The sequence below is a fragment of the Homo sapiens genome, chromosome 9 (assembly GCF_000001405.40).
Source record: "Homo sapiens chromosome 9, GRCh38.p14 Primary Assembly".
In the NCBI taxonomy this organism is placed as follows: domain Eukaryota; kingdom Metazoa; phylum Chordata; class Mammalia; order Primates; family Hominidae; genus Homo; species Homo sapiens.
Window position 1 is genome coordinate 125,059,048 of NC_000009.12, and position 21,281 is coordinate 125,080,328.

A 21,281-nucleotide genomic window follows, 5' to 3' on the forward strand; every position below is an offset into this window, starting at 1 on the left:
GAATACTTCCCCCATAAACTACACATTACTTCCAAGGGAAAAAGTAATTTCACAGCAGTAAAATCCAGCAGACACTGCCTTGATCAAATGATCAAAGTGAACATCATTAGTAATCAGACAAATCAAAGTCCCATGCGATGAGAAGTACTGTTCCTGTCAAAGTTCTGTAGCCTGAGTCTAATCATGAGGAAACAGACAAAACCAAGTTGGGGGACATTCTACAAAATAACCAACCTGTAATCTTCAAAAATGTCAAGTACTTTCCTTCAAAGACAAGGGAAAACTGAGGTATAATGCCTGATTCTCCCCTGGATCCTTCTGCTGTAAAGGATGTTATTGAGACAACTGGTAAGGCCTGAATGGGGTCTAAGGACTAGACAGGAGTAAATTTCAATGTTAATAAGAAAAATGTTCAACCACCAATGATGAATTGGTGAACAAAATACAAACACAGTAAAATACAGTAACAAAATACAAACCTAATGCAGCAAAATGAGCACATTAAAACTACACTAATTATAGCAGTTGAACATGCACTGAAACCAGCATAGTTGCTAGAGGCAGTGTAAATTAGTTCAAACCCATAAGTTTCCCTGAATGTATGAGGGGACATTAAATGGTCATTCTATGAGATCTATCAATTACACTGCAGAAAATTTATCCTGAGGTTAACTGTCATTACTGGTAAATTACTCATAACACAAGAACTGGTGAAGAATCACTAGCATCTGACATTCTTCAAAATCTATCTTTCCAGTCTCACCTTCCACTAGCACACACGTACCTATTCTCCGACCACAAGGAAATACTTGAAAGCCTCTGAACAAATCCTACTCTTATACAGCATCATGATTTACACGCTATTCCCCTGGCCTATTTTGTACACCTACCAAATTTATATTCATAGTTGAAGACAGCATTCAAACGACAACTTTTCTGTAAAACTTTCCTTGAAAATCTAAATCTTTCCCTGGCACCTACTTCTGATCAAGTCAGTAGGGGCTTCTTCAGTTACTTCACAAAGAGTTGAACAAATATAACAATTATTTGTTTTTTGAAAAGTCTATCTCACCATCTAGACACACACTGTCCAAAAGTGTAGTCATTAGCCTTTTGTCACTATTTGGCACTTGAAACATGGCTACTCTGAATTGAGATGTGCTATAAATGTGAGGTATAAGTGTAAAATATGCCAGATTTAGAAGGCTTAGTATGAAAAAAAAAAAAAAAAGCCATGGCAGATAGTGAAAGGAAACTGATAAAGACATATGGCCACATAAAGATGGCATTAATATGTAATCCTAGCAACAGCATTGTTTGTGGAGATAATTCTCAGCAGACATCTTCAGAGTGGCATATTTCTTCAAAGTAGTTCCAACTGTCTTGCAAACAGCCAGGTATTCTGAATATATAACCAAAAAGATCATCATATATATTTTTAAATCTTTCAGTATGCTAGTGATATGGTTTGGCCCACCCAAATCTCAACTTGAATTGTAAATCCCAGAATTCCCATGTGTTGTGGGAGGGAACCACGGGGAGGTAATTGAATCATGGGGCCATCTTTCCCATGTTATTCTCATGATAGTGAGTAAGTCTCACAAGATCTGATGGTTTTATCAGGGGTGTCCGCTTTTGCTTCCTCCTCATTTTCTCTTGCCACTGCCATGTAAGAAGCACCTTTCGCCTCCTATCATGATTCTGAGGCCTTCCCAGCCATGTGGACCTATAAGTCCAATTAAACCTCTTTTTCTTCCCAGTCTCAGGTATGTCTTTATGAGTAGCATGAAAATGGACTAATACAGCTAGGTTGCAAAAGACAAATAGTTTGAGTTTCATGACTTTCTCAGTGTTCCTATTCAAGTATTTCATAAATATACCATCCTTCCTTGTAGCTGCTACTTATCACATTCTACTCTAATATTACAGAAACCTGTGCCTCATGTCATACCAGATTATAAAGTCCTTGGCCAGGCACGGTGGCTCACGCCTGTAATCCCAGCACTTTGGGAGGCCAAGGCAGGCAGATCATGAGGTCAGGAGATCGAGACCATCGTGGCTAACACGATGAAACCCTGTCTCTACTAAAAATACAAAAAATTAGCTGGGCGTGGTGGCGGGCACCTGTAGTCCCAGCCACTCTGGAGGCTGAGGCAGGAAAATGGCATGAACCCAGGAGGCGGAGCTTGTAATGAGCAGAGATCGCGCGACTGCACTCCAGCCTGGGCGATACAGCGAGACTCCGTCTCAAAAAAAAAAAAGTCCTTAAGGGCTAAACCCATGTTACATTTATTCTTGCTCTTCAACTAAACCTTCAATAGAACTTCAAATACCTCAAGTATTTATTTCAGTCTTATGAATTGAAATGGATTATGGTAATAGTTTTGGACAAAGTAATATAAAACCTAAACTTAAAAAAATATTGTTCAAGGCTGGGCCCAGTGGCTCACGCCTGTAATCCCAACACTTTGGAGGCTGAGAAGGGCAGATCACTTGAGTCCAGAAGTTAGAGATCAGCCTGGGCAACACAGTGAAACGCTGACTCTACAAAAAAATACAAAAGCTAGCCAGGCATGGTGGCACATACCTGTGGTCCCAGCTACTCAGGAGACTGATGTGGGAGGACTGCTTGAGCACAGGGGTTTGAGGTAGCAGTGAGCTATAACAGTGTCACTGCACACCACTGGAGGCAACAGAGCAAGACCCAGCTCAAAATGAAAGAAATGAAACGAAGAAAAGAAAAGAAAAGAAAAAAATATATATGGAATTCATCACCAGCAGAACAAAAGGAAGAGTGTCCTTTAAGCAAAAGGAAAATAATCAAAAAAAGAAACTTAGAGATATAGGAAAAAAATATAGAGCAAGGGTAAAGGAGATGCATGGGTAAATATAAGCAAATATTGACATTATAAAATGAAGATATGTATGTGTTTTACAGAAGAATGGAAAAAATGTTAGTCTATTAATTGAAAGGGGAATAAATGGAGTTAAAGTTTGCTGAGGTCCTTGCATTATTCTGAAAGTGACAAAAATAATAATTTATACTAAATTTTAAGTCAGGAAAGCATGCCTTAATCTCTAGATTTTTTTTTTTTGGAGACAGGGTCTCGCTATGTTGCCCAGGCTGGTGTGCAGTGGCGTGATCATGGCTCACTGCAACCTCTGCTTCCCAGGCTCAAGCCATCCTCCTATCTCAACCTCTTGAGTAGCTGGGTCTCCAGGCACACCACCATGCTCGGCTAATTTTTTGTATTTTTTTGTAGAGACATGGTCTCCCCATGTTGCCCAGGTTGGTCTCAAACTCATGGACTCAAGTAATCCTCCTGCCTCAGCCTCCCAAAGTGCTAGATTTACAGGCATGGGCCACTGTGCCCAGCCTAGTCTCTATATTAAAATTAAAAAAAAAAAAAAAAGAAAAGCAGGCTGGGCGCAGTGGCTCATGCCTGTAATCTCAGCACTTTGGGAGGCCAAGGTGGGTGGATCACAAGGTCAAAGGAGTTCGAGACCAGCCTGACCAACATGGTGAATGAAACCCCATCTCTACTAAAAATACAAAAATTAGCTGGGTGTGGTGGCACACGCCTGTAATCCCAGCTACTCAGGAGGCTGAGGCAGGAGAATCGCTTGAATCTGGGAGGCGGGGGTTGCAGTGAGCCAAAATTGCAAAACAAACAAACAAACAAACAAACAAAGGCCGGGTGAGGTGGCTCACGCCTGTAATCTCAGCACTTTGGGAGGCTGAGATGGGTGGATCATGAGGTCAGGAGATCAAGAACAGCCTGGCCAACATGGTGAAACCCTGTCTCTACTAAACATACAAAAATTAGCTGGGCATGGTGGCGCGTGCCTGTAATCCCAGCTACTTGGGAGGCTGAGGCAAGAGAATCACTTGAACCAGGGAGTAGGAGGTTGCAGTGAGTCCAGATCGCACCACTGCATTCCAGCCTGGTGTCAGAGTGAGACTCCGTCTCAAAAAAAAAAAAAAAAAAAATGTAAAACACTGTGTAAGTACTAATGAAGTCAAATAATAGAATGGTTTTAATTATAACCCCCCACCCCCCCCAGAAAAGGGCAAGATTAGGCCCAGCGCAGTAGCTCACGCCTGTAATCCCAGCACTTTGGGAGGCTGAGGTGGGCGGATCACTTGGATTGGGTGTTCGAGACCAGCCTGGCCAACATGGCAAAACAGCATCTCTATTAAAAATACAAAAATTAGATAGGCATGGTGGCACACACCTGTAATCCCAGCCACTCAGGAAGTGAAGGTTGCAGTGAGCCAAGATCGCACCACTGCACTCTAGCCTAGGTGACAGAGTGAGAATCAATCTCAAAGGAGGAAAAAAAAAAAAAAAAGAATGAATATAGAAAAGACAGGACAAATGGAAGGCAAAGAGTGTAACAGTAAAATTAAAACACAATATGTCAGTAGCTACAATATATTTTAATGAACTAAGTAATAAAATTTAATGATGAAGTCCATCAGATTGGATTTAAGAAAAAAAACTGATACATGAGTAAAAGATTGAAAAGGTTGTAAGTCAAAGTATGGAAAATACATATCTTGAAACATCAACCAAAAGGGAAGAAGTGTAGCTACGCTATTATCAGGCGACACTGACTTTAAGTCCCCCTCAAAAAAAAAATCAACATAGATGAGAAGAATATTCCCTAGTGACAAAGTGTTCAGGTCAATATATCCCTTTTATCTTTTTTTTTTTTTTTTGAGACAGAGTTTCACTCTTATCACCCAGGCTGAAGTGCAATGGCGGGATCTCGGCTTACTGCAACCTCCATCTCCCAGGTTCAAGTGATTTTCCTGCCTCAGCCTCCCAAGTAGCTGGGATTACAGACATGCACCACCATGCCCAGCTAAGTCTTGTATTTTTAGTAGAGACGGGGTTTCACCATATTGGCCAGGCTGATCTTGAACTCCAGACTCAGGTGATCCCCCTGCCTTGGCCTCCCAAAGTGCTGGGATTACAGGCGTGAGCCACCGCGCCCAGCCAATTCAATATATTTCTAAAAATCATATGCACCTAATAACATAGCCTCAAAATATATAAATAAAAACGGATAAAACTAAATGAAGAAACAGACAAATCCACAATCATAAGGGGAAATTTTAGAACATATCCCTCAGTAACTAACAAAAGAATCATAAAAAAAAGACTAACGATAGTAGGATTTTTAAAATCCCCATTAATAAAGTTGACCTAACTGAAATATAGAGAACCACACATCTACAAACTGCAGAATATGTCTTTTTTATTCACATACCCATGGAGCAATCATAAAGACCAATTCTAGACGGGTGCCGTGGTTCAAATAAATAAATTAATTAATTAATACTAATTCTCATACTCCATCTCAAATAAATAAGTAAATAAATACTAATTCTATGCTAGATATAAACCAAGTCCCTAGATGTCACAAATAATTAAAATTACAGTATACCTTCTGACCACACTGCAAGTAAGTGAGAAATCAATAGCCAAAATATTACTAAAAAAATTCTCAGGTGGGTGCAGTGGCTCATACCTGTAATCTCAGCACTTTGGGAGGCTGAGGTGGGCAGATCACCTGGGGTCAGGAGTTCAAGACCAGACTGGCCAACATAGTGAAATCCCGTCTCTACTAAAAATACAAAAATTAGCTGGGCATGGTGGTGGGTGCCTGTAACCCCAGCTACTTGGGAGGCTGAGGCAGGAAAATCACTTGAACCCAGGAGGCGGAGGTTGCAGTGAGCCAAGATCGTGCCACTGCATTCTAGCCTGGGCGACAGAGTGGAACTCCATCTCAAAAAACAAACAAACAAAAAAATCCCATGTTTGGAAATTAAGAAATATCCATGTAAATAATTCACGGGTCAAAAAACATCATAATGAAAAGTAGAAAACATTCTGAACTGATTCACAATGAAAATTAAAGCTTATAGATACAGATAATTCTATGCTTAGAGAGAAATGGCTGGCCTTTAAACACATACATTTAAAAAGAGGTTAGGAAATGAACAGCCAATAAGAGCAGCCAATTAAACCCAAAGAAAATAGAGGGCAATAAATTTACATAGATGAAATTAATTAAATAAGAAACACAACAAAGTCAACAAAATAAAGTTAGTTCTTTAAAAAGACTAATAAAACCCTGGCAAGAATGACCCACGGGGGAAAAAAAACAACAACAGAGAATAACTAATATCAAGAATGAAAAAAAGGAGTATCACTGCTGAAAACAAAAAGATCACAAAAGGAATATTATAAATAACTTAATGCCATCAACGTGAACATTTAAGTAAAATAGACAAACACTGAGAAAAACACTTTTTGCTAAACCTGATACACAAAGAAATTTTGAAGAGTTCTAGATCTACTAAAACATTGACAGCCTAATTGAAAGCCTACCCACAATGAAAACTCCACACCCAGGTGGTTTCACTGTCAAATTTATAAAAAACATCTAAAGAAGACAAAAGAAAAAGAGGCAATCTTACATAAACTCTTACAGAATAGAGAAGAAGGAACATTCCTCAGCTCATTTTATGATGCCAACATAATTTTGATACCAAACCCTAACAGGGATATTATAAGAAAGCAAAATTACAGGCCATTCTCACTAATGAGTATAGATACAAATATACTAAGCCAAATGTTAGCAAGTCCAATTCGGCAATATATAAAAAGGACATGACAAAATTGGACTTATTTTAGGAATGTAAAGTTGGTTTGATATTTGAAAATCAATCACTGTAATTTATCACACAAGTAGAATGAAGGACAAAAATCATACTACAATTGCTCAACAGATGCACAACTCACATTTGGTAAAATTTAACATTGGCTCACAATTAAGAAAAAGAAACCAACTCAGCAAACTAGGAACAGAAAGGGAGCTTCATTAATTTTATAAAGGATATGTATTTTAAAACTATAGCAAAAATCATACTTTTCAGTGAAATGTTGATATCTTTCCCCTTGAGATTGTGAATGACTGCTATCACCAGAACCTCTGATACTGTATTGAATAAAGAAAAAAAGAAAACAAAGATATAAGCTGTTATTATTTGTACATAACATGAACATTTCCATAGAAATTTCAAAAGAATCTATATGTAATTATCAGAATTAACCAGTGGGTTTAGCAAAGTTTCTGGATAAAAGGTCAACACATATAAAGGTTAAGTATATTTCTATATTCCCAAGAACAAAGAAAAAATTTTTAAATCAATTTAGTGTAGCCTCAGTGTACAGTGTTTCTAAAATCTACAGAAGTGTATGGTCATGTCCTAGGCCTTCACATTCACTCACCACTTGCTCACTGACTCACCCAAAGCAACTTCCAGTCCTGCAGGCTCCATTCATGGTAAGTGCCCTGATAGGTATACCATTTTTTATTTTATTTTATTTTATTTATTTATTTATTTTTTTTTGAGACGGAGTCTCGCTCTATCTCCCAGGCTGGAGTGCAGTGGCATGATCTCAGCTCACTGCAAACTCTGACTCCCGGGTTCACACCATTCTCCTGCCTCAGCCTCATGAGTAGCTGGGACTACAGGTGCCTGCCACCGCGCCCGGCTAATTTTTTGTATTTTTAGTAGATACGGGGTTTCACTGTTAGCCAGGATGGTCTCGATCTCCTGACCTCGTGATCCGCCTGCCTCGGCCTCCCAAAGTGCTGGGATTACAGGCGTGAGCCACTGCGCCTGGCCTATTTATTTTTTTTAAAGATGCAGTTGTGCTTGGAACCATTTTTTAATCTCTTACATTGTGTTTTTACTGCACCATTTCTATGTTTAGATATGTTTGGATATACAAGTACTTAACATTGTATAATTGCTAACAGTATTCAGTACAGTACCATGCTGTACAGGATTGCAGCCCAGGAGCAACAGGCTATACCGTGAAGCCTAGGTATGTAGGAAGCCTATACCATCTAGTTTGTGTAAGTACACTCTATGATATTTGCACAATAAAATTGCCTCATGACACATTTCTCAGAACATATCCCTGTTGTTAAGCAACACGACTGTATATATAAATTATGTGGGCAGACTGGAAATCCATAAACAAGATCAATTCAACAGACACTTGTGGGAAGCACATGGGTAAACATATCACAAGAATAGAAGTAGAGACAAAGGAAAAAGAACATATATTTTAATGGGTTGAATTGTGTCCCCCTTAAAAGATATGTTGAAGTCCTAACTTCTGGTACCTGTGAACGGGACGGGACCTTCTTTGGAAATAGGGGTTTTGCAGATGTAATTAAGGCCTAAGTTAAGATGACGTCATGCTGGAGTAGAGTGGGCCCTGAACACAATGTGACTGCTGTCCTTAAAGAGCAGAGGAGACACAGAGACAGACACACAGGGAAGGGAGAATGCCATGTGAAGACAGACAGGAAGGAAGGCAGCCACGTGAAGACGGAGGCAGAGATCAAAATCACACAGCTTCAAGCCAAGGAACGCCAAGGATTGCTGGCAACCATCAGAAGCCGGGAGAGAGACCTGGAACAGATTTCCCTTCTGAGTCGCTAAGAAGGAACCAATTCTGCAACCACTTAATTTTGGATTCTGGCCTCCTGAACTATGAAAGCATAAATTTCTGTTGTTTTAAGCCACCCAGCTTGTCATTTCTCATTTTTGTCTTAATTTGCATTTCTCTGACAACTAATGAAGTTCAACGCCCTTTCATTTGTTACAGCAGGCCTGGGAAACTAATACATAGATACATAATACATCGATAGAGTCCTTACACAGATTACAAAATGGGCAAACAAGCAAAACAACAACGAGCAGGGACAACTGCTCAAAGATGTGTTTTGCTGAGTAAAGAAAATTTGGCAAATTATTGACCTGCCTTGTTGATAATTACTTTTTATAGGAAGTTTGTGACAAAGCAACAAGAAAAACTGCCTCTCTGGACTGAATTCTGAGTAAGTAGTTGGTAATATGAAAGTCTGAAAGAAATCTTGAGAGAAAATAATGTTAAGTCTGCATTACATTATACCAGTATGCATAAAGTGGAGTCATAATGGCAGTGGAAAGGGCCTTGGTATAGCACAAAAGCCCGAGTATTTCTGTTGCTAACACTTAGTTATGTGATTTTAACCAAAAATAACTTTAGTTAACACTGTGATTGCAAGTTTTTAATCCAGCAAAACAAGAAATTTACAAGCCAGGCATGGTGGCTCACACCTGTAATCCTAGCACTTTGGGAGGCCAAGGCAGGAGGATCGCTTGAGGCTAGATGTTCAAGATCAACCTGGGCAACAAAGCAAGACCCCATCTCTACAAAAATTAAAAAATTAGCCAGGCATGATGGCATGCACCTGTAGTTCCAGCTACTCGGGAAGCTGAGGCAGGAGGATCCCCTGAGCCCAGGAGTTTGAGGTTACAGTGAGCTGACTGAGCCACCACACTCCAACCTGACTGACAGAGTGAGATCCTGTCTGAAAAACAACAACAACAACAAAAAAATACAACAAAAAACAAAGAGGCTGGGCATGGTGGCTTATGCCTCTAATCCCAGCACTTTGGGAGTCCAAGGCAGACAGACTGCTTGAAGCCAGGAGTTCAAGACCAGCCTGAATAACATGGCAAAACCCCATCTCAATTATTCTCTAAAAATTTTTTATAAAAAAATTAAAAATAAATTTACACTTGGCTTGCTTACCTCAGATACCTGTTGTGAAGATAAAAATAAGATTTCAGCTGTAAAATCAGTTTGAAAACACTACATAATATATAATATCACCATCGTTATTATTCTGCAGTTAGTGATGTTTCAAAAACATAAGGAACAACTCTGTGATCAGACTGAAAAGGTAAACAGGCAGAGAAAAGAAAGGAAGTACATAGGAAAGAAAATAAAAATATAACAAAAAATTTGACCAGGCGCGGTGCCTCACGCCTATAATCCCAGCACTTTGAGAGGCCAAGGCGGTTGGAAAACTTGTGGTCAGGAGTTCAAGACCAACCTGGTCAACATGGTGAAACTCCTGTCTCTACTAAAAATACAAAAAATTAGCCAGGCCTGGTGGCATGCACCTGTAACCCTAGCTACTCGGGAGGCTGAGGCAGGAGAATCACTTTAACCCGAGAGGCAGAGGTTGCAGTGAGCCAAGATCATGCCACTGCACTCCAGCCTGGGAGACAGAGTGAGACTCCATCTCAAGAAAAGAAAAATTAAAAAACAAAAAAATTTATTCTGACAAAGAAAGGAGAGCATTTATGGAAATCACATGCTAAGAAAGGGATCATTTTGTTATGAGCTCAGATTTTTTTTTTTTTGAGACGGAGTCTTGCTCTGTCGCCCAGGCTGGAGTCCAGTGGCGTGATCTTGGCTCACTGCAAGCTCCGCCTCTGGGGTTCATGCCATTCTTCTGCCTCAGCCTCCCGAGTAGCTGGGACTACAGGCGCCCACCACCACGCCCGGCTAATATTTTTGTATTTTTAGTAGAGACGGGGTTTCACCATGTTGGCCAGGATGGTCTCGATCTCCTGACCTTGTGATCCGCCCGCCTCAGCCTCCCAAAGTGCTGGGATTACAGGCGTCAGCCATTGCACCCGGTCTTTTTTTTTTTTTTTTTTTTTTTGAGACGTCGTCTTGCTCTTGTCACCAAGGCTGGAGTGCAGTTGCATGATCTTGGCTCACTGCAACCTCCACCTCCCGGGTTCAAGCAATTCTCTGCCTTAGCCTCCTGAGTAGCTGGGATTACAGGCGCCCGCCACCACACCTGGCTGATTTTTGTACTTTAGTAGAGATGTGGTTTCGCCATGTTGGCCAGGCTGGTCTCGAACTCCTGACCTCAGGTGATCTGCCCACCTCGGTCTCCCAAAGTGCTGAGGTTACAGGCGTGAGCCACCGTGCCCGGCCATGAGCTCATATTTTTAAAAAACATACAAAGAGATGGAATGGCTGTATAATTAAGCATGAGCATAAAATACTATCACATGTCTCAGCTGTAAAAATGGAATATTAATAATACCTAGCTCTTAAAGTTGTTGCACAAAATGAACTAACAGATATGAAACTGTGCTATAAATTACACTATACCATGAAATTGTTAGTTGCAAAATTGTTGCAAATACACTCCGAAACAGCATAAATTGAAAAATACCAAGTACAGAAAGTGTTGAATATGTGTGTATATGTGAGGGGTGATGATGATGGTTTTGCCATATTCAGTATAAACAGAATAGCTACCACTTGGTACAGATGGCATTCCTATAATGGGAACAAATGACAGAGCTCTAAAAGCTGGTCCTTACCACAGTGTGAAGCATCTTCATGTATCAAGGATAGCATAAAATTATCATGAATTATACACAAATTATTTTCTAAAAACAATCTTTTTTTTTTTTTTTTTTTTGAGACATAGTCTCGCCCTGTTGCCCAGGCTTGAGTGCAGCAGTGCAATCTCAGCTCATAGCAAGCTCCACCTCCAGGATTCAAGCAATTCTCCTGCCTCAGCCTCCGAGTAGCTGGGATTACAGGCACCTGCCACCAAACCCAACTAGTTTTTGTATTTTTAGTAGAGACAGGTTTTTACCATGTTGGCCAGGCTGGTCTAGCACTCCTGACCTCAAGTCATCCACCTACCTCGACCTCCCAGCGTGCTGGGATTACAAGCATGAGCCACCACACCAGGCCAAAACAATCTTTTTGTCTTATTCCAACATGTTACTGAAGTTAAATTACAAGGCCAGGCATGGTGGCTCACACCTGTAATCTCATGCCTGTAATCCCAAGGTAGGAGGAACACTTGAGGCCAAGAGTTCAAGACTAGCTTGGGCAATATCTGATATGGTTTGGCTGTGTCCCTACCCAAATCGCATCTTGAATTGTAGCTTCCATAATTCCCATGTGTTGTGGGAGGGACCCGGCGAGAGATAATTGGATCATGGGGGCGGTTTCCCCCATACTGTTCTCATGGTAGTGAATAAGTCTCACAAGATCTGATGGTTTTATAAGAGGAAACCCCTTTCGCTTGGTTCTCATTTTCTCTCTTGTCTGCCACCATGTAAGATGTGCTTTTCACCTTCCACCATGATTGTGAGGCCTCCTAGCTACATGGAGGTGTGAGTCCATTAAACTTCTTTTCCTTTATATCACCCAGTCTCAGGTGTGTCTTAATTAGCCGTGTGAAAATGGACTAATGTACTATCACAAGACTCTATCTCTATAAAAATTTTTGTAAAAAATCAGCCTGGCATGGTGTTGTGTGCCTATAGTTCTAGCTATTAGGATGGCTGAGGTGGAAGGATCACTTGAGCCCAGGAGTTCTAGGCTGCAATGAACATGACTGTGCCACTGCACTACAGCCTGGGTGACAAAATGAGACTCTAACTCAAAGAAAAAAAGTTACATGTTATAATAATAATGAAAAGAGAAATGCATAGGTACCAAACTTCTTGTTGATCAATGTATAAAGAAACTGAATAATACCATGAGGACAGAGAGTTTAAGAAAAGGAAGCCAAAGGAGTTTTGGCATGGAGCAGCAGTGATACACAGCCAGAAGGCCATTTGTAAAATATTGCCCACAAGACTATAAAGACATCATTTTGCCTATCAAATACAGAAAAAGAGAGATGTTTATCTAACACACACAATTACACAAATTCCAGTAGTAATTCAACTGAGACATAGCACAACCTAGCAGAAAGTACTGCAGTGAAAGGGAAAAAAGGCAGGAAAAAAAAAGAACACACAATTGCTTGATACACAGAGCAAAAGGAGTGTTGGTTAATCAGAGTAAATGTTGGCTCCGCTTGCTGTATTCTGCATTTTCTCTAGTGCACACTGGTATAATTAGTCCATACTTATTGAGGAAACTAAGTTCTGATTAGCATGACGTGTTCAGGGCAAAAGAACAAATTACTTTCACTGCTTAAGGCATACAGATCTGCATGAATTTGTTTCAATGCCAGTGCCAGAAGGGAAAACTAAAGAGGGCAAGAGACAGGGGATAGTAGATAGTCTTTTTTTTTTTTTTCTGAGACAGTCTTGCTCTGTCACCAGGCTGGAGTGCAGTGGTGCAATCTCGGCTCACTGCAACCTCTGCCTCCCAGGTTCAAGCGGTTCTCCTGCCTCAGCCTCCTGAGTCACTGGGACTACAGGCGGGCACCACCACGCCCAGCTAATTTTTGTATTTATAGTAGAGACGGGGTTTCACCATGTTGGCCAGGATGGTCTCGATCTCCTGACCTCATGATCCGCCCACCTTGGCCTCCCAATGTGCTGGGATTACAGGCGTAAGATAGTAGAGATTCTTATGCTGAGAAAAGATATAGTTACATTAAAAATTTCTTCTCTTACTCAAGTAACTGTAGTAAGAATTATATCATTCCAATATACAAAAATAACAATGAAACAGTGTTTAATAAACTGAGTATAAATGAAGAAATAAAACAGAAAAAATTGAAAAATGTAGAAAATAGCTTTTAAAAATTTATTCCTATGACTTATTTTTTTACTTTTTTATTGTGGTAAAATATACATATTTACCATCTTAACCATTTCTAAGTGTACAGTTCAGTGGTATTGAATACATCCATAGCATTGTATAGCCATCACCACCATCCATCTCCATTTTTACCTTGTAAAACTGAAATTCTATACCCACTACTTAATAACTCCCCCATTTTCCCCTCCTCCTAGCCCCTGGCAGCCACCAATCTACTTTCTGTCGATAGGTTTGACTACTCTAAGAATATCATGTAAGTGGAATCATATAGTATTTGTCTTTTTGTGTCCAGCTTACTTCACTTGGCATTATGTCCTCATGATCCATTCATGGTGTAGCATATATCAGTATTTCCTTCCTTTTTAAGGCTGAATAATACGCCCTTGTTTTTATATACCATATTTTGCTTCTCCATTCATCCACTGATGGACACATGGGTTGCTGCCATGTTATAACTACTGTGAATAATGCTGCTATGAACATGGGTATACAAATATCTCATCAAGAACCTGCTCTCAATTCTTTTGGATATAAACCTAGAAGTAGAATTGCTGGATCATATGAGGATTCTATTTTTAATTTTTTTTTTTTTTTTTTTTTTTTTTTTTTGAGACGGAGTCTCGCTCGGTCGCCCAGGCTGGAGTGCAGTGGCGCGATCTCGGCTCACTGCAAGCTCCGCCTCCCGGGTTCACGCCATTCTCCTGCCTCAGCCTCCCGAGTAGCTGGGACTACAGGCGCCCGCTACCACGCCCGGCTAATTTTTTGTATTTTTAGTAGAGACGGGGTTTCACCGTGTTAGCCAGGATGGTCTCGATCTCCTGACCTCGTGATCCACCCGCCTCGGCCTCCCAAAGTGCTGGGATTACAGGCGTGAGCCACCGCGCCCGGCCCTATTTTTAATTTTTTGAGGAACTGCTATATTGTTTTCCACAGTGGCTGTATCATTTTATAGTCCCACCAACAATGCACAAGAGCTCCAACTTCTCCATGTTTCTCAACACTTGTTATTTTCTATTTATTACTATTATACCTTCTTGATAGCAGCCATATGAATGAGTGTAGTTTTGATTTGCATTTCTCTAATGACAAGTGATGCTGAGCATCTTTTCACCTGCTTATTGGCCATTTGCATATCTTCTTTGGAGCAATGTCTATCCTATGACTCTGTTTATGCAGCAAAAAGACACTTATACAAGGTCAGGAGTTCATGACCAGCCTGGTCAATGTCATGTAAAGATAAAAAAGAAAAACAAAAATAAAAATAAAATAAATGTGTAAATAAAATGAAGAGTACAGGATTTAATCACTCTGAAAGGTTTCTTTTCCCTGTATGGTTAGTCAAATACCCTTACATTTCACTCACAGACTGCAGGCTTCTATTCTTCCTATTCTTCCAAATGCTCTCAATTTCCCTAAGCACTCTCGTTCTCCTTTTTTTTTTTTTTAAACATAGAGTTGCCAGGCGCGGTGGCTCATGCCTTCATGCCTGTAATCCCAGCATTTTGGGAGGCCGAGGTGGGCAGATCATGAGGTCAAGAGATCGAGACCGTCCTGGCTAACACGGTGAAACCCCGTCTCTACTAAAAATACAAAAAATTAGCCAGGTGTGGTGGCACGCGCCTGTAGTCCCAGCTACTCAGGAGGCTGAGGCAGGAAAATTGCTTGAACCCGAGAGGCAGAGGTTGCCGCGAGCCAAGATTGCACCACTGCACTCCAGCCTGGGTGACAGAGCGAGACTCCATATCAAAAAAAAAAAAAAAAAAGATAGAGTCTCGCTCTGTCACTCAGGTTGGAGTGCAGCAGCACAATCTTGGCTCACTACAACCCCCACCTCCCAGGTTCAAGCGATTCTCCTGCCTCAGCCTCCTGAGTAGCTGGGATTACAGGCGTGCACCACCATGCCTGGCTAATTATTGTATTTTTAGTAGAGATGGGGGTCTCACCATGTTGGCCAAGCTGGTCTCGAACTCCTGACCTCAAGTGATCCGCCCACCTCGGCCTCCCAAAGTGTTTGGATTACACGCATGAGCCTGGCCTCATTCTGCCTTATTTTCAGAATAGTCAGTACTTCTCTCAGTGGCAAAGAACAGATAGAATCTCCTAAGGATTTCCAGGCTTGCAGTTATGCTGGTTCCCAAATCCAAACTTGATCTAATTTAAATACAAACCCAATAAAATCTAAACTCTTATATTATTAATATAAAAAACTGGCCAGGGAAGGTGGCTCATGCCTGTAATCCCAACACTTTGGGAGGCCGAGGTGGGCAGATCACCCGAAGTCAGGAGTTCGAGACCAGCCTGAGCAACATGGCGAAACCCCGTTCCTACTAAAAATACAAAATTAGCCAGGCATGGTGGTGCATGCCTGTAATCCCAGCCACTCGGGAGGCTGAGGCAGGAGAATCGCTTGAATCCAGGAGGCGGAGGTTGCAGGATCACACCACTACACTTCAGTCTGGGCAACAAGAGTGAAACTCCATCTCAAAAAAAATAAAAGATGAAAAACTAAGGACCAGTTAGTTGGTTATCTAAAAACAATACATACAAACAAGATGCATGGAATGACTATTTATGAAGCTAATGGGGCAGGAAATACAAAAATACACAAAATGAAAGAAAGCATCCAAAATATGAATCTGGAGACGGATGTAAGGAAGCATGACTCAAAGTCGCCTACTCCTAACAATTCATTCAAACTGTCTCCAGTAGAGAACTCACAGAGGCAGAAAATACAATGTACTTTCATTTAAATCACCATTTATTTATTTATAACACCAAAACTCAAGAGGAAACAAGAAATGTAGGCAAAAGCCTCAATCACCAATCAGCAAGCTATTAGGTCTATATTTCTATTTAGTCTGTAAAGAAGTGCAGGCCACATAGATGTTTCATTCTTTCTTTTTTTTTTTTTCTGAGACAGCTTCTCACTTACTCTGTCAGTGGCATGATCTCCCGGCTCACTGCAACCTCTGCTCCCAGGTTTAAGCAATTCTCCTGCCTCAGGCTCCCAAGTAGCTGGGATTATAGGCATGCACCACCACGTCCAGCTAATTTTTTTTTTTTTTTTTTCGAGATGGAGTTTCGCTCCTGTTGACCAGGCTGGAGTACAGTGGCACGATCTCCGCTCACAACAACCTCCGCCTCCAGGTTCAAGTGATTCTCCTGCCTCAGCCTCCCAAGTAGCTGGGATTACAGGCATGTGCCACCATGCCCGGCTAGTTTTGTATTTTTAGTAGAGACAGGGTTTCACCATGTTGACCAGGCTGGTATTGAACTCCTGACCTCAAGTTTTCCAACCGCCTCGGCCTCCCAAAGTGCTGGGATTATAGGCGTGAGCCACCACGCCTGGCCTTGTTGTATTTTTAGTAGAGATGAGGTTTCACCACGTTGGCCAGGCTGGTCTCGAACTCCTGACCTCAAGCAATCCACTCTCATCGGCCTCCCAAAGTGCTGGGATTGCAGGTGTGAGCTACCACACCCAGCCAACAGACATTTCCTTGTTGATCGATCATATACAAAGATGAGAGCAACAGTGGCCAACAGTCTGTGTATGTAGTATAAATACAAACAACATGAAAATCATGAGGGGACACTCGAGCAACATCTCAGCATACTCTGACAGAAGGCTGTTAGTCATCAAATGTTGGGTTAATCTGTACTAAGCAGAACAACAATAAAAATAACTCATTGAAAGATACTTATGGGCCAGGCGTGGTGGCTCATATCTGTAATCCCAGCACTTTGGGAGGCCGAGGCAGGCAGCTCACTTGAGGTCAGGAGTTCCAGACCAGCTTGGTCAACATGGTGAGACCCCATTGCTACTAAAAATACAATAATTAGCCAGGCGTGGTGGCACGCGCCTGTAATCCCAGCTACTCAGGAGGCTGAGATAGGAGAATCGCTTGAACCCAGGGGGTGGAGGTTGTAGTGAGCCAAGATTGCACCACTGTACTCCAGCCTAGGCCACAGAGGGAGTGAGAAGCCATCTCAAAAAAACAAAACAAAACAAAACTGTGTGGCCTGCACTTCCAAAAAACAAAAAAAGAAAGAAAGAAAAAAGGAAACATGGATGGCTGGGTGGTGGCTCACCTCTGTAATCCCAGCACTTTGGGAGGTCGAGGCAGGCAAATTGTTTGAGTTCAAGAGTTTGAGACCAGTCTGGCCAACATCATGGCGAAACACCATTTTTCCTTTCTTTTTTTTTTGAGACAGAGTCTCACTGTCACCCAGGCTGGAGTGCAGTGGCGTGATCTCAGCTCACTGCAACCCTCTGCCTCCCAGTTTCTAGCAATTCTCCTGCCTCAGCCTCCCTAGTAGCTGGGACTACAGGCAAGTGCCATCACACCTGGCTAATGCAAATTTTTAGTAGAGACGGGGTTTCATTCACCATGTTGGCCAGGTTGGTCTCGAACTCCTGACCTCAGGTGATCCACCTGCCTTGGCCTCCCAAAGTGCTGGGATTACAGGCGTGAGCCACTGCGCCCAGCAGAAACTCCATTTTTCTACAAAAAAATGAAAAAATCAGCCAGGCATGATGGTGTGTGCCTGTAGTCTCACCTACTCGGGAAGGTGAGTTGGAAGCGCCACTGCACTCAGGCTTGGGTGACAGAGCCAGTCCCCACTCATATGGTCATATGATGTATTCCGTCACAATTCTGCTTTCCTACATTTCATGTTTTGTCTACAATAAAGTGGATGCATGATAGGTAAGAAAAGAATAAACTTTTCCTCAAAGGAGAAAGAAAAATTACTTTTTCTTTAAGCAGTAACTGATTGGTTATATTTGTTTTTCCTTGTAATACTCTATTGTATGGATATGCCAAATTTTGTTTCTCCTTTCAACAAGTGATGAACAGACTTTCACTTTTTGGCTACTATGAATAATACTGCTACAAATATTTGCCTACAAGATTTTGTATAGACATGTTTTCATTTCTTCTGGGGGTATACCTCCTAGTAGAATTGCTGGGTCATCTGACAACTCTATATTAACCCTGTTAGGAGCTACCAGACTATTTTCCAAAGTGAATGTACCATTTCACACATGCAGCAATGTATGAAGTATTGTACTTCTCCACATCCTCAACAACACTTGTTATTATCTGTCTAGAGAGATTTGGATTTCCCTGATGGCTTTTCTGTGTTTATTGGGGCTTTGTATATTTCCTTTGAAGAAATGTCTACTCAGATACTTGACATTTATTTATTTATTTATTTATTTTTGAGATGGAGTCTTGCTCTGTCGCCCAGGCCGGAGTTTAGTGGTGCAATCTTGGCTCACTACAACCTCTGCCTCCTAAGTTCAAGCTATTCTCGTGCCTCGGCCTCCCAAGTAGCTGGGATTATAGGCACCTGCCACCACGCCTGGCTAATTTTTGTATTTTTAGTAGAGACAGTGTTTCACCATGTTGGCCAGGTTGGACTCGAACTCCTGACCTCAAGTGATCCACACCCCCCCCGCCTCCCAAAGTGCTGGGATTACAGGCGTAAGCCACCGTACCCAGCCTTTGGTGTATTTTTTTAATGGGTTTTCTTTTTATTATTTCATTTTAAGAGTTCATTACACATTCTAGATAAAAGCACCTTGTCAGATAAATGATTTGCAAATACATTATTCCTTTTTGTGAGTTGTCTTCACTTTTTTGGATTGCTTATATTTCTATTTTTCTTTTCTCATAGTTAACTTTTATTTTTGTCAAAATAATATATAAACAAAAAAAAGTCAACATTAGGCTGGGCGTGTTGGCTCACATCTGTAATCCCAGCACTTTGGAAGGCCGAGGTAAGCGGATCACCTAAGGTCAAGAGTTCAAGACCAGCCTGGCAAATGTGATGAAACCACATCTCTACCAAAAATACAAAAAATTAGCCAGGCATGGTGGCACATGCCTGTAATCCCAGCTACTCGGGAGGCTGAGGCAGGAGAATCGCTTGAACCCAGGAGGTGGAGGTTGCAGTGAGCTGAGATCACGCCACTGCACTCCAGCTTGGGCGATAAGAGTGAAACTCTATCTCAAAAAAAGCCAACATTACCCACAAACACTTAAAGACAGTAGTCTGCTGGTTCACCCTTCCCCCCACCACCCCTATACTGCCAGCATCAACAGCTTCCCACTGTTAGGCTGGCCACAGTGGCTCACACTTATAATCCCAGCGCTTTGAGAGGCCAAGGCAGGAGAGTCACTTGAGCCTGGGAGTTTGAGACCAGCCTGGGAAACATAGTGAGACTCCTATAAAAAATCTAAAAATTAGGTGGATGTGGTGGTGCACACCTGTAGCCCCAGCTACTTAGGAATCTGAGGCAAGAGGATCACTTGAGCCCAGGAGTTCAAGTGAGCCATAATTGTACCACTGTACTCCAGCCTGGGGGATAGACAAAGACCCTGTCTCTAAAATGTAAGAAAAACCAAAAATCAAAAAACTTTCAATTCTTCTGTTTTACCTGGTAGTTTCCTCTATTTTCGTATATAATAAGCTTGTCTTGCAATTGCTTGATTCATCTATTTTTGATATTCATCTATTTTGATAATAGTTTCCTCTATTTTCCTATATAAGCTTTTCTTGCAATTACTTGATTCATCTATTTCTGATATTCATCTATTTTGATAATTGTTTCCTCTATTTTCCTATATAATAAGCTTTTCTTGCAATTGCTTGATTCATCTATTTTTGATATTACAGATTTTCTGCAAATGGCAAATAAGGATTTTGTTCTCTTATAGCTCCCAGAGTGCCTCCCCCCATCATTAGTTATGTTATTGTTAATTATATCATTATTTGGGGTTATGTAAGCTAATAATTATATATCTTTGGTTAAATCAATCATTAATGCTTAAATTGTGAGCCTTTTTATTGCTTCATTATATGGCACATAATAGGATATTAAAAGGGAGAGAAGATCTGCGTATAATTGAAAAGGCTCCTCAGACATCTATAACTGGAAGTTGGTTGTACTTCTTTTAAATCCTGTTCTTTGCTTCTTAGTAAATAATTTTTCACACTTACTAGTTAAATGCTATACTGCCTAATCAAATTTCATACAGAAAGTATCTTCATATAAAAATGCCTGGTTTTTTTTTAACCTACCTTAATTAACAACTCATTAGTTCAAGAATTCCCAGTCTTTGAGTCTGTAAATGACACTACTATCCTGTTGACACAATGACAGTTATAGAAATTACAAGATGGTGCTTAAGAAATCCCTGTTAGCATCCAAATTCATATGTATTGGCAAACACGTTGGTGACTTAAAAAAAAAAACTGGTATTTCACGGAACATGAGGAGAAGGCTGTAAGAAATAAAGACAGTTATTGACCCTCAGTTTTCATTCAGCATTTGATTACGAAAGCAGGAATTAGACCCCAAAGTCTGTGAAGGGAATATGTGCACAACACTTAACAAAGCACATGAATTACTCCTTGAATTACAGCAATAAACAAGATGCCATGTGAATTCTAAAAGGTACCTTGATTGTCTACATACTACCAAAAGCAGCTTAAAATCTGGGATTGTTTAACTAGAGGGAAGTTATCAAAAAAAAAGAAAACGGCCCTCAGTTCCTTGGATCCTTAGTCACTTGTAGCTGGAAGGAGGAAGAAAAAGGCAGGGGGCAGGGTACAGAAGAAATCAAGCTCCCACGCTCCAGAAACTATGCCAGGCATTTTATATACATATCATCTGCACACACCTATAAGGTAGGCACTGTCACCAGAATTTAGAGATGAAAAAACAGGCTTAAGTAAGTTATTTCTCCAGAATTACACAGTTAGAAAAAAAACCCCAAAGTCATGTTCTTCTTCCCAAAGGACCCTCAT

General features: G+C 41.0%; 1 protein-coding gene across 6 annotated transcripts in view; it reads right to left on the reverse strand.

Moving 5' to 3' along the window:
* SCAI (suppressor of cancer cell invasion) overlaps positions 1-21,281 on the reverse strand; it is a 200,921-nt gene that overhangs the window by 116,440 nt on the left and 63,200 nt on the right. For 3 of the 6 annotated variants that reach the window (XR_007061281.1, XR_929768.2, NM_173690.5), the window contains exon 3: positions 6,943-7,011. The exons of the other annotated variants lie outside the window; for them this stretch is intronic. Coding sequence is in view for 1 of the 3 variants with exons in the window: in NM_173690.5 (NP_775961.2) it covers positions 6,943-7,011 (69 nt within the window). In the remaining 2 variants the exon portion in view is untranslated. The remainder of the gene's footprint in view (positions 1-6,942; positions 7,012-21,281) is intronic. 6 annotated transcript variants of the gene reach the window in all.